Consider the following 14,750-nt stretch of genomic DNA (forward strand, 5'->3'; position numbering starts at 1 on the left):
ATCACACTGAAGCCCTTGTTAGAGTAGGAGAAAGAGGAGCCCTGGGACCTGCCCTTTTCACAAATCCTGGGCCACTGGAGTCTACATTTTGTTTTCATGCCATTGTAAAAAAAAATTTAAAAAGACACAAAAAAACAGGACTTATTTTGGAAACTGTCACCAGTGAAGTCACCAAGGACTTAAAGACATAAAATATAAAGATGGAAAAATGTCGAGGAAGCTGCATCCCTTCATATTTGCCCAGCAAAATTTTGCACGAACATCCATCCTTAATGAGAGTCATCAAGCCCAAATTTCCAAATGGTCTTGGCTGCCAGAATTCTAGTTACAATCAGCTTCTCCCCATTCCCATTTTCCCTTAAATACCCTGGTTGTGGGTTGCATTTTTCGATGCTGTGATTAAAGAAGGAAAATGATTTCAGGGTCACTCTTCACACCAAAATACATGTTTCAAAATGTTCTTTTCTAAACTTTGCTCCGATTGGTAGCACTTAGTACACAAGGCCTTGCACACAATAGGTGCTCAGTAAATAATTTGTTCAATTAAACTGAATCAGACTTCATTCTTCTAAACTAAGAAAAAAATTGAGTGTGCTTTCTTATTAGCACCACTGGCCTGATTTCTCTTCTACCGTGCTGTCTGTCAACTTGCCTTTCCATGTCTGTAGCCTTAACCCAGCCCCTAACACAAAGACATGCAAACACAGTCCCACACTATCCCATTCAAGTGTTTCTATTGCTCCTTTATGGGTCTGCTTATGGTATTTACTTTGTTAAATGAGAGAGGAAGTGAAAAGAATAATGTCTAAGAGTCAAAAGACCTGGATTCTCCTCCCACTTTTGTCATTACTTTGGATCTTAGGTAAGTGACTATGCGCTCAGATTCCTCATCTCTGAAGTAATAATAATAATATATATGCCTGACCTACCTCCCAGGATTGTTGTGAATATCAAATGAGCTAATATATGTGAAAACCCTTTGAGAACAGAAAAGGCTTTTTAAAGAACTGTTCTTATAAGAACCTCACCCAGTTCATGTACCCAGTAAAGCATCAAGAAGGTCTTCCATACCGTGTTTCCCTGGGAAATGGGTTCCTTCTCACCTCCTTTCTCCAGGAAATGCTAACTGGCTGACCTCCTGGGACACATTTACTCTGATGAATACACTGAGGTCTAGGGTTGGGCCCTCAGCTTTACAGCATCAGAAACTGGATCTTGACAGAGCCTCTGAGTTGATCAGACTAAGAGATGCTGACTCATACTAATCCACAAGAGACTGATATATAACCAGAATGCCAGTTTATTAATTTACAGTGGGAAACATTTGGCCTGATCTGTCCCTTTTCTCCCTACAGGCCAGTTGCATGGGAAGAGAGATCATCTGAAAGTTGCTCAATGAACAAGGAACTTTGACAAAGAGAGTTATATTATTCAAATGTTTGATAACATAGGGCTCTGCTCAACTGGAGCCTCTGTCTCCTCAACAGGAATCTGCTCCAGATGATCTAGATGTTTCAGGCACTGTGGCGGAAGCCCCCATTCCTGAACAATGCACACAAGAGCCAGTGTACCATGTGTGCCCTTTTCCCCACATTCCCTCTGTTGACCAACACATTGCTCTTTATATATATTAATCCTTTTGAGACTTCTTGCAGTGCACCTGTGGTTCCCAAAGCCAGTCTGCTGACCAGGAAGAAGCCGGTTGCCACAAAAGCACCTGGGATACATGTAAAGAAATAACGGGCTTGTATAGCTCTACTGGAAATTCTAATAATTAGGTCTGTGGAGGAGTCTAGGAATCTGAATGTTTACAGGCATCCCAAGTGACTCTGATCATCAGCCAGGTTGGGGAACCACTGATATAAAAGTCTTATTGGCTAATAATCTATTCTACCACTTTAAGACGACTTTGCATATTCTGATCAGATCCATTACAGACTGATTGTATAGATTAACTCTCAGAACAAAATATTATTTCCTAGTTCTCAAAGGCCAATCGCTGTTGTATCCTTGAGCTTGCTTCCTTCATTCTTTCTTTCCTTCCCTCTTTCCTTCTTTTCCTTCCTCCCCCCACCCCTCTCCCTTACATAAATATTTATAAATACATAATGCATAAGGAAGCTTACCAAGAGGAGGCTGTAGCAGTTGACACTCCAAGAGCCAAAACCAAAAGCTGCTGTTAGGTGATAATAGACTTGGAGGATTAGGATATATAAGCCTGGTGCACAGACCGCTCTAAGGCCAGCCAGTAATACCAAGGCCTGACATTGAACAATCTTGAGATAATTTCTCTGTGGTAAGCAACCCTGGGCCTTGGCATACTTCCTGAGCTGATGTCCTGTAGGAAACAACATTATGCTCCCAAGTGACCTTGAGGGAAACTCCAAGAACCATGTTTCCGTCCCGCTCATGACAAAGCAGACAGCCGTCTTTCCTCTCAAATATGGCTCCCATGTCGCTAGCACCTGGCAGTGCCTTGCTTCCAGCAGAGCACCAAAATCAGGACAGCAAAGTGAGAGTCAAATCTAAGGAGGGGTGCCAATGTGTGATGGGCATCTCTTTATACCAGGTTCTGTGTTCCCATACTATATATCCTATGCACCACAAAAATCACTGAAACAGGTTTCGGTATCTCCATTTTCTAGATGAAGAAATTGAGGCTCAAAGGGACTAAGTAACTTGCTAAATAAAGGTCATGCCAGCAGTTAAGTGGTGGAATTGGGATTTGAATCCAAGCTCACTCCGTTCCAAATTCTATGTTCTTTCCATAATCCCATGCTGCTGAGTAAACAGGGAGGTTGGAAGTGGGAGTTTTGAACATAAGCTTCATTTGCTATTCATACTAATTTATAGATAATTTTTATAATTTCTCTATACAGAATGACATATATAAATACATTTTTTTTCAAATATTCCATAACAACTATCACATTCCTACATATAAAATATACTAGCATCTAAATCTGCATTTGGTTAATCCTGATTCTTTTCTCAGGGGGAAAAAGGCGGCTATAATTAGGGATAGGATTGGGAGTCAGGATATCTAGTTTATAGTCCTGGCTCTGCCTTTCACTCACTGTGTACATTAGGAAATTCCTTTTTTCTTCCTGAGCCTCATTTTCATCATCTGTCAAAGGAAGGGTTGGATTAGATCTTTTACATGCTAGGATTCTAAAAATCTAGTAACACTGTTACCATGTTTCTTAATTGTTTTAGATCAAAGCACAGAAATTGAACAGTAGAAAAAGAAATCTGAACACATATATTAGAAGGCTATTTAATAATAACTAATTTTATTGAGCACTGTTTGTATGCCAGGGACTGTACTAACTAGTTTGTATTACTTATTTTGATTACTTCTTATCACATCAACTCTATTCTTATTTATCCATCTCTTAGGAATAGAGAGGTAAGTAATTTGCCCAAGATCACATGGCTGGTAAGAGGAGAAGCCAATGCTGAAATCCAAGCACAAGCCTAGGGCCAGCTCCTAAATATAGTCCTAGCTTCCACTCTTGCTTTACAGCTCCCACTCTGATGACTGTGTAGGACATTTATGAAAGTTGCATTTGGATTATCTGATCTTGGGACATGAGGAAAAAAGGACAGCACATATCAGCCCATGTAAGGGAATTTCCTAGAGACTATTGTTATGATTATCTCCCTTGGGAAAGGGAGCTGTAAAAGTTATATAGAATATGTTCAGGTTCAGAGAGTCAACTGCATCAGAGAAAACATTATACTGGTCAACAGGCCCTGGACATAAAATTACTTCTATTCCTTAATATTATTAGTAAGCTTTGTTTTCCTAACACCAAGGTCATAAAAGTTAGGCCCCAGTTTCTCTGCCTGGGTTTAAGTAGGAGGAAATAAATCAAGAAGGAGAAGAACTTTTCTTGCTCTTACTGATCCTGTGGAGGTAAAGGCAAGTGGGAGGAAGGAATGGTTGCTGGCAGGTAGATCAAGAACTATCAAAGGCTGAGTCCTGTACAGATGGGGATGCTGTATTTGATATCCACCCTATTCAAATGATGCCTTGATAGCCACCTATTGCTTCTGATCTCCCTGGACAGGGAAGTTGGGTGGCAAGGCTGAGCCATGGTCTAGGATGAACTATAAAAACATTACGAACCATTTCTATCCCCAAAGGATAATACCTGGACAAAACTACAAGAATGTCCACTCTTGGGACCAGGGATGGAATAGAGATAGAGCTACCAGCAATGTCACTACTTCTTTCTGTTTTCTTCCTTGCTCACTACCCACATTAAGTAGGACTCTTTTTCTTTTTTGTGTGCTTTGTATTGCATGTCATGCAGGTGGGTTGGAGAGAAGTGAAAAAGGCTGTCTATAAATTGCTGTAGCTAATTTAGAAGTCATTTTGCATCGTGTACCCAAGCCTACACTTTCAATAATGTCAGAAAAGTTTGCTTTACTTTTGCAATGCATCGATAGGTTAAAAGGCATTTTTATTAAACCTACAGGTGACACAAAGCTGGAAAGTATACCTATAGCTACAGAGCTAAATCAGAATTCAAAATTGTCTAGACAGTCTGGAGTTTCTTGTCTAACTCAATAAGATGGAATATATCAGAAATAATTGCAGAATTCTATATTTAGGGTAAAAAGCAAACCATCATATAAGTTCAGGATGGAGATGATTACCCAAAGAGCATTTGTTCATATGAAAGGACTGGGGACTTTAATTATCCACAAGTTGAATATTTTCCAACATTATGATGTGTGTGCTGGAAAAAAACAACCCAGTCTTTGACTGCATGAAGGGAAGTGAAGGAGAGATTATAGGAAGCCCTGGTCCTAGTGCAGTGGGCTGTGGTCAGACCACACTGAAGTACTGGGTTCTCTGGTAGGTACCACAATTCTTGAGGGATTTTGACCAACTTGAAGAAAAGTAATGGGTTGGTAAGGGTCAGGAAGTCAGGAATAGTTGACATAAATGATCACATTTAGCCTAGAGAAGAAAAAAAAGTCAACCAAAGGAATACCATATCCTTGTCTGCAAATATTTAAAAGGCTCTTGTGTGACAGGCAGAATAAATTTGTTCTGCCCTGTCAAGATGTAGAGATAAAGAGCAGAAGTTAAAGAAGGCAGATTTCAGTACAACATAAGTAAGAGCTTTTCAATACCTGAGCCGTTGTCCTAAAGAGAGAGCTCCTAGCAACTAGAGGTACTACAGCTATGGCTACCTTGAAGGAGAGAGGTGAAGTGCGAAGAAGACGCCACTGTCTGTTTTGCCAGGACTGGATTCATTGCTCTTATTTCACTGATATTTCATATATATTCTTGGGCCTCAACTTGGAAGCCATCAATTTTGGCTGAAGAACCAGGCCTGAGGATTCATAGCCCATGACTTTCTGAGCAGGGACTACCACTTCGGAATGCCTGAGCTTATAATACAGCCCCTTCCTTAGGAATTATCTGAACAGTGAAACTCACTCTCTTGTACTTATCCATTTGCTTAATAACAGAAGGGCTCACTTTGCTTCTTGAGCATATATTAGGCACTTATTTTTTTTTAATTTTTATTTATTTTTTTGAGACAGAGTTTCACTCACTCTGTCACCCAGGCTGGAGTGCAGTGAGTGATGTGATTTCTGCTCACTGCAACCTTTGTCTACCAGGTTCAAGCAATTCTCCTGCCTCAGCCTCCTGAGTAGCTGGGATTACAGGCATACACCACTACACCGGCTAATTTTTGTATTTTTAGAAGAGGTGGGGTTTCACCCTGTTAGCCAGGCTGATCTCAAACTCCTGACCCCAAGTGACTCGCCCACCTTGGCCTCCCAAAGTGCTGAGATTACAGGCATGAGCCACCATGACTGGCCATGTATTGTTTCTGCTATAGAAATATTTTATTACTCCATAGACTGTACTTTTATTTCTTTGAATTTCATTTGTTAATATTTAGACACTTTTTTCTGCTTTTAAACACGATGAGCAGACCTTTGATAATATAATAATTTTAATAATAATTAGAATTGTTACATGAAAAGAAATGAAAGTTTCTGCTCTGAGGCTTGGCTGTGCTGTTAACAATAGTGCCAGGAAGCCAGGCGCGGTAGCTATGCCTGTAAACCCAGCACTTTGGGAGGCCAAGGCAGGCAGATTATGAGGTCAGGAGTTCAAGATCAGCCTGGCCAGCATGGTGAAACCCTGTCTCTGCTAAAATTACAAAAAAAAAAAAAAAAATTATCCGGGCATGGTGGCGTGTGCCTGTACTCCCAGCTACTTGGGAGACTGAAACAGGAAAATCGCTTGAACCCAGGAGGCGGAGGTTGCGTTGAGCTGAGATCACGCCACTGCACTCCAGCCTGGTGACAGAGCGAGACTCCATCTCAAAAAAACAAAAAACAAAAAACAAACAAACAATAATGCCAGGAGACATCACCCTGCAAGGTACATCTATTCAGCCCCTAAGAGAGTCACTATCATGCCCCAACCCATCTTTATCCTACTAGGAAAGGCAGGTAGTCTCATTCTTAAAATCCATCATCCAGGAGCTTAGGAGAAATAAAATCTGAATTTCTTTTCAGGAGATGTAAGAGATTGGAAAAACTTGTCCTTTTGTTTTTCACACACTACTCAACACAACACTTCTGACACTGGATGGGTGAATTATTTTCCCCATACACCAAATAATTTTCCACTGGACATGGGCGGGGGGGTCCTAAAATTCAGTTCTGACACATCTACCTAGAGTTAGAGTCAGATCTCACAGGTTGAGGGCTCAGCCTCTCAAGACTCCCTCTCACTTTAGATGCCAACTGCAAGTCCCAGGTTGCAGCCTGTACTCCTGACTGACTGGCTATAAATTAGGGTTCCCATAACCCCCCTCCTCAGGTTTTATTAATTTGTTAAAGTGGCTCACAAAATTCACGGAAACATATTTACCCATTTATTGTAAAGGGTTTTATAAAGGATACAGAAGAACAGTCAGATGGAGAGATACCTAGGGCAAGGCATGTGGGAAGAGGTGCAGGGCTTGGCAGACCACCCTCCAGGCACCTTTACGTAGTCAGCTCTCCAGTGGCTCCCTGAACCCACTTCCCTTGGGTTTTTATGGAGGCTTCATTACGTAGGCATGATTGATGGTATCACTGGCCATTGGTGATTAACTCAACTGTTAGCCCCTCTCCCCTCCTGGGAGGTTGAATGGTGGAACTAAATGTTCCAACCCTCTAATTACAGGATTGGTTCCCCTGGCAAACCAATAGAGATGGGGTTTTGCCATGCTGCCCAGTCTGGTCTCAAACTCCTGAGCTCAAGCGATCCTCCCGTCCCAGCTTCCCAAAGTGCTGGGATTATAGGCATGAGCCACTGTGCTCGGCCATCTTCTCATTTTTATAACAGTCCAATTCCCTAAGATAAACCCATGGTTAAGTTTCTAGTTTCAATATCTTACAACCAAATAAATGTAGTAGTTAAGAGTTCTGACTTTAATGTCAGATAGACCAGGGTTGATATACAGAGTACCCACTGAGAAGTTACTTACTTTCTTTAGCTTCCTTATATGTAAATTCACATACTTCTAAAGAGGATTAAGTGAGATAAAATACGTAATGTGCTTAGCACAGTGCCAGGCCCAGAGTCAGTGCTCAGGAAATGTTAGAGCTCATTAATATGTATTATAATCAAATAAAATATGAGAAGACTGAAAATAGAAAGAAGAAAAAAAATCACCCATAGTTCCACCACCTGAACTGATTTTTAACTATTTTCATTTTGTCTTTTATCTGTGTGTAAGAGAAAGAAATGTTATATATAATTCTGAGAGGCAGTCCTGGTAGCTAGAATGCCCTTTGTTTGCCAAGTCTTCATAGGTGGTGGGGATAAAATCTGGAGGTGGAAGCTGGGGTGTATGAGTGCAGAACTGCTCTGCATAATGAAGGAAAAGGCAAATGAGATTCCCTAAGGGAGAAATAGTTTAATCTCTAGGTTAGATCTTTTAAGCACTCCCTAAAGACAGAGAAGGAAGCCATTAAATGTTCTGAGTCTAGACTAGATCACCTTTTTGATGTCTTTTATACCAGTTCCGAATTTGCTGAGAGTACTAAGTCCCTGAGAGCTGAGCCTGAGATACTTGTGCCGAGGGCGCTTTATCAATCCTTCTATCTCCTTCAAGTCATTCTTTCCTGACGCATTCCTCCTAGGGCAGCCATGGTGGTCTCTTCCATGTTTCCCTATCTCAGGTCAGGCTCTTTTGAAAGTGGGCGTACACATGAGCCATCTTAAATCACATTAGTCAGTAGTGCTGCGGATGCCTTATTAGTAGGGAATCTGGATCAGGAAGATTGCTTTCCTATGGGCTTGGGTAAAAGCCACTAGAACCCAAGGAGACAATACTTGTCCAAACTGATTTATAACCAAAAGCTAATGTTACTGACTGATAACCCAGGGAAAAAATTTATTTACCACTAAAATCTAAGAGCCAATATTTTAATTTAATAATTTACTTTTCTTTGTTTAATTTACTTTTCTTTGTTTATTTCTATTCACAAGTTGAATATTTTAGATTGGTTTGAAAGTTATCACTTCTCTATGCTGTTCTCTATCAGCCTCTATTTGATAAGCGATTTGAGATTATTAATGCAATTTATGAACCCACAGAAGAAGAATGTGAATGGAAACCAGATGAAGAAGGCAAGATTTCGGAGGAGTTGAAAGAAAAGGCCAAGATTGAAGAAGAGAAGAAGGATGAAGAAAAAGAAGAGCCCATAGGAATTCCTGAATTTTGGTTAACTATTTTTAAGAATGTTGACTTGCTTAGTGATATGCTTCAGGAACATGATGAACCTATTCTGAAGCACTTTAAATTTATTAAAGTGAAGTTCTTGGATGCTGGCCAGCCTATGAGTTTTGTCTTAGAATTTCACTTTGAACCCAGTGAATATTTTACAAATGAAGTGCCAACAAAGACATATAGGATGAGGTCAGAACCAGATGATTCTGGTCCCTTTTCTTTTGATGGACTAGAAATTATGGGTTGTACAGGGTGCCAGATAGATTGGAAAAAAAGGAAAGAATGTCACTTTGAGAAACATTAAGAAGCAGCAGAAACACAAGGGACATGGGACAGTTTGTACTGTGACTAAAAGAGTTTCCAATGACTCTTGCTTTAATTTTTTTGCCCCTCCTGAAGTTCCTGAGAGTGGATATCTGGATGATGCTGCTGAAGCTATCCATGCTGCAAACTTCCAAATCAGTCACTTTTTACCTGAGTGTATAATCCCAAGATCAGTGTTATATTTTACTGGAGAAGCTATTGAAGATGATGATGATGATTATGATGAAGAAGGCAAAGAAGCAGATGAGGAAGGGGAAGAAGAAGATGAGGAAAATGATCCAGACTATGAACCAAAGAAAGATCAAAACGCAGCAGAGTGCAAGCAGCAGTGAAGCAGGATGTATGTGGCCTTGAGGATAACCTGCACTGTAATAGCCTAAACACAACTCTTATTTACTTACAGCCTTATGTTTTCGTTTTTTCTTGGTAGACTATGCAACTTTTTTAAAGGACAGGAAACTGATATTTTAAAGACCAATTTGTCCTCTCTAGCATTTTGACTAGTTTTTCCGCCAGATATTTTGAATGCACAAATTCTGTCACGCATGTTCATTAATTGCTACGTAATTTGGTTCTTCTGGAATATTTTCATGTAGCTCTTGGAGTACAACTGTGAAAATTAACGACTGCTAAGTGAAATACTTTCTTTTCATAATTTTTTCCTTGACGAGCCAAAGTATTTTTTTCAGCTGGTTGTTGAATAGGGTTAAGTCCGCTTGGATTAGTTGTGACCTTCTTTAATATGTTACAGAAATGCAGTGACTTATATTAAGACAATTCATTGTTTTAAAATAAAATTGGCAGGACAACTATATGGTTAAGAATTTCCAGTATGAACACATCCAATAACTGCATTAGATGGTTAATGGATTATTGTGTTATAGGTGACAGTTAACGGTAAAGTAACCTGACTCAGGATAGTTACTGGTACCACAGTGAGGTGAATAAAACAGGATTTTCAGAAGTTACCCTCAATTTAACTATACTTTTAAATTTAAACTCCATTAACTACGCATCTTTTCTTTGTGATAAAGTCTACCTTCTGCTTCCCTGGAAAGGAAGAATTTACATTATCCGACAGGCCTATTTTCAAGTTATTTGCTGTTTGTTTGCTTGTTTTTGTTTTTGCAGCCTAAAATAAAAATTTCAAATACAATTTTAGTTCTTACAAGATAATGTCTTAATTTTGTACCAATTCAGGTAGAAGCAGAGGCCTAGCTGGAATTAAGGGTTACACACAGTTTTTACCACATTATTGAAGAGAAGGGTACCAGCTTTGGAAAGAGATACTATACTAATAAGCAAGTGTGGAAGAAGAAGAGGAAGAAGAAGAAGAGAAGAAGAGGAGGAGGAGGAGGAGGAGGAGGAGGAAGAAGAAGAAGAAGAAGAAGAAGAAGAAGAAGAAGAAGAAGATCTTCAGTTATTTGATGCTTTTTGTAAAAAAAAAATTAAAGTTCATTTTCTTTGGGTTAGAGCTAGAGAAAAGGCCCAAGCTTCTGTGGTTTCTTCTAATTCTTATTGCTTAAAGTATGAATATGTCACTTACCCATGCTTCTGTTTACTATGTATTAAAATGGGTAGTACTGTTTACCTAACTACCTCAAGGATGTGTTAAGGCATATTGAGTTAAATCTCATAAAATGTTTCTCAATCTCGTTAACAGCTCAAAATTTTGGGCCTATTTGTAATGTCAGTGTGACACTCAGCATTTTGTTCATACCACACTTTGATAACTAAATTGGAAAACAAAGGTTAAGTACCTCTGTTCTGGACCTGGACAGGCAACACTCCTTTAGATCTTTGTGTTGCTCCCATTTGTATAGAAGTGGATGGATGCACTATTTCACAAAGTCCAAGAATTTTTTTCAGGTATTTTTGATGACTGTATAGCAGTAAATACTACTTGGATAGCACTATAGTATTGTAGTCATGAGACTAAAGTGGACATAAGACTATTTTTGATAAAAGATGCCATTAAATTTCAGACTGTAGAGCCACATTTACAATACCTCAGGCTAATTACTGTTAAATTTGGGGTTGAACTTTTTTTTGACGACAGCGAGGGTGGACTTTTGGGTTGTCATTTAGAGGAAGGTCTAGATTTCCTGCTGTTAATAAAATTACATTCAATTCATTTTTAAAGGTGATGAAAACTTCCTTTTTGAGAAGTTAGTGTTAAGGTCTTGGAATGTGAACACATTGTTTGTAGTGCTATCCATTCCTCTCCTGAGATTTTTAACTTACTACTGGAAATCCTTAACCAATTATAATAGCTTTTTTCTCTTTATTTTCAAAATGATTTCCTTTGCTTTGATTAGACACTCTGTGATTTTTTTTTTGTAACCATAGTTCATCTAAATTCAGCTTTTTCTAACTTTAAAGCTAGAATCCCATTTCTAATGAACTGAAGTAGCAAAATCATCTTTTCATTCTTTTAGGAAATAGCTATTGCCAAAGTGAAGGTGTAGATAATACCTAGTCTTGTTATATAATGGGGACGTGGTTTGCAGAAGAATTCTCTTTATAAAATTGAAGCGTCAAGGGATGTCAGTGTTTACGCCATTTTTCCTGTTCCAAAATGATTTCATTCCATACTAGAAATTTGAAGTATGTAACTTGAAATCCTTAATAAAATTAGGATTTAATTATATAAAAAAAGAAAGTTATTACTTCTCCATTAAGTAAATCTGGAACCTAAAGATTGAAGATTCTGTGTGTTGCCAGAATCACAACTCGATTAGAAAGGTTAAGAGGTAAAAAGAATGAAATGGAATAGGCCCTCTCTATTTCTATGGCTAACCTTTGGGAAAAAAATTTTATAGTAACAGAAGCTTCTTCATTAGCCACCTATGGATAGATTTTAGGCTGAGTCTAATTCACAGTGATTACCCCTCTCTAAGAACCATGGGGGAACTAGTCACTCAGCTTGATAGAGATTGTTAGGAAAGGGGGAAAATAAATCTGGAAATCTTGGATAAAAATCACTAGAGAAGATGTTAGAGAATGTCCTACAAATAAATACCACATATAAATATTCTTTAAGCGTTTGGTAGAAAGTTGGCCAAGATGACCCCTAGCAGGTGCACAAACTAAATTGGGGTGGGAATGGGAGTGAGGACAGGTAAAATTTGGAAGCAGCAAGAGCTTCCCAGGCAAAGTCAGGACCTTTTGGGGAATGCAACTGGAAACAGGGGCAGTGTAAGAGGAAAAGAGCTCAGCACTACGAGTCCAGAGTGTCAAGCCCAAAGAGTCCAAAAGCTGAGGTTCTGGCTTTGCCAAGATACCAACATGGAAGGTAGGAGTGCATAGAGATGACTGGGGAATCCCAGGTAACCAAAAGATTCAGGCTCAGAGGAGCCATTAGGGCTTCAAGGGAAGCTTTCCTTGTACACATTTCAGGATTATTTGGCCCCTATATTAACAAGTACTTTTTAGCTTCAAGTAAAAAACAATCTAATAAAAAGCGTGGCTTAAGTAAAATGGAAATGCGCCTTTCTCTCAAGCAATGTAAAGTCGAGCAGTTGTTAGTCCAGAGCTCGTATAGAAGCACCACAATGTCAGAGAATCCCACCCTTATTCTTTTAGATGCCAACATCCTTAGCATCTAGTTTTCATCTTCAGTATTGCTTCATGGTCACAGTTAATTGCTGCAGCTCCAACCATCACATCCACCATACAGGGAGGAAGAAGAAGGAAGAGAGGAAAGCAAACTCTACTTATCAACTAAGTCAGCCAGTCCCCTTTAAAGAGCATTCTCTTCAGTAGTCCACCCTGTGATTTCTGCTTACATCCTTTCACCAAATCTGTTTGATATGACCAATCCTAACTTAAAAAGAAGCTGTGGAAATATAGTTTTTAAACTTAGCACTGAGTTGCCTTCAATAAAATTGGAGTTCTCTTAGTAAGATAAAGGGAATTATGGACATTAAATAGGCAATTAGAAATCTCTGCCACAACCTTCTAACCAAAGAATGGCTGAAAAGTTATTTCCAACTCCCAGTTATGTGTTGGGTGAGGCTCTAGATGTATTGATGTTCTTGGGATGCTTTTTCATGGATTCCAGGGAAGAGCAAGGCAGTTTATAGACAGCTTATTCCAACACTGGGTTTGAACTAAGTTGAATTAAGGAAAAATAATGATAATGAAAAGGGGATGCCTACAGGAACAGTCTAAAGGAAGTGAACTAATATGGTTTGACTCTTGTCCCCACCCAAATCTCATTTTGTAGCTCCCATGTGTTGTGGGAGAAACCTGGTGGGAGATAATTGAATCATGGTGGTAGGTCTTTCCCATGCTGTTCTCATGATGGTGAATAAGTCTCATGAGATCTGATGGTTTTAAAAATGGGAGTTTCCCTGCACAAGCTCTCTCTTTTCATGCTGCCATCCATGTAAGATGTGACTTGCTTCTCCTTGCCTTCCACCATGATTGTGAGGCTTCCCCAGCCACGTGGAGCTATAAGACCATTAAACCTCTTTCCTTTGTAAATTGTCCAGTCTCAGGTATGTCTTTATCAGCATCATGAAAGTGGACTAATATATGCATCATAATGGTTACAGTGTTGGGTGAGGAGATGGGATCATGACTTCTAGTTTTCTGTTATGTATTTGTATTATTTCAAGTGTTCTTGTATTCTTTTAATTTCCTATTGAATTCTTTTTTTCTGTTTTAAGACTCCCTGGAGAAGGAAGGCATTTGGGCCAGCCTACTTAAAGTGAGACATATGCCCAATGTGCAAATTAGGCCAAAAGGCCACAAAATGTGTTTAGGAAACAAACCAGGGCATGTGAAATTGCACTTGCATAAACATGTTGTGTGTGTGTAATATTGATCTCCATCTCACAGGGGAGCAATAATGAGCTGGCAAAGGCTCCTGGGAGGGAAAATTAGAGGATGAGAAAGCTACTCCATGAAAGTTATTGAACAGCAGGTGGCACGTTTGGAGGCCTGTGGTAGAAAGACCTGGGTTCTAGGCCTTTTCCCACTCTTCCCCTTAAACAGCTGCACATGATCCTGGGGAAATTCACCTATTTAGTCTTGGATTTTTAACCTATAAACTGGGAAAAGAGAATAAGAAGATAATTAAAATCCTTTGAAATAGAAATAATTTTATTTTCCGTAATTGTTGACCCAAAAGAGAAAATGATAAAATATTTTGGGAAGTGAGGCTAAGGGGGGATGAAAATAGACAAGTAGCCTAGCATGTGAGGAGGTTTCACCAAGAGTAAAAAACTTAGAATAACATGAAAGTAAGAAAACCATTTGGGGGCAATTTTAGGTGCATAGTAGCTATGCGGAACCTTTTTAGATTGGGAGATTCACCCAATTGATGAATCGAACTCTGTTGTTGAATTGAACATCCTGATTGCAATTCTAGCACCAGGAGGGGATTCCTCATGTGCATCTGGTTGTAGCCACCCAATTAAAATTCCCACAAAAAGGAATTAATTTTATAACTATCTAAGTCAATGAAATGGACTAATTCCCATTAGCTAGATTTCTAATGCAATTATTTTTAAATAGCATTAATTCCACAATTCTTTTAACCTTGCCATATAGCTTTCCCTAATGCCTGTTCCTCCAACCCCAAGTCCTTTTATTTTTAAACCTCTACAAGTCTTTCCCTCTTTAAATTTAGGAACATCCCCTGATCAATTTATATTA

At 39.2% G+C, this 14,750-nt stretch overlaps 1 pseudogene; it reads left to right on the forward strand.

The window, feature by feature from the left end:
- NAP1L1P3 (nucleosome assembly protein 1 like 1 pseudogene 3) lies at positions 8,560-9,335 on the forward strand (annotated as a pseudogene).

This window comes from Homo sapiens, chromosome 3 (assembly GCF_000001405.40).
Source record: "Homo sapiens chromosome 3, GRCh38.p14 Primary Assembly".
NCBI lineage: Eukaryota > Metazoa > Chordata > Mammalia > Primates > Hominidae > Homo > Homo sapiens.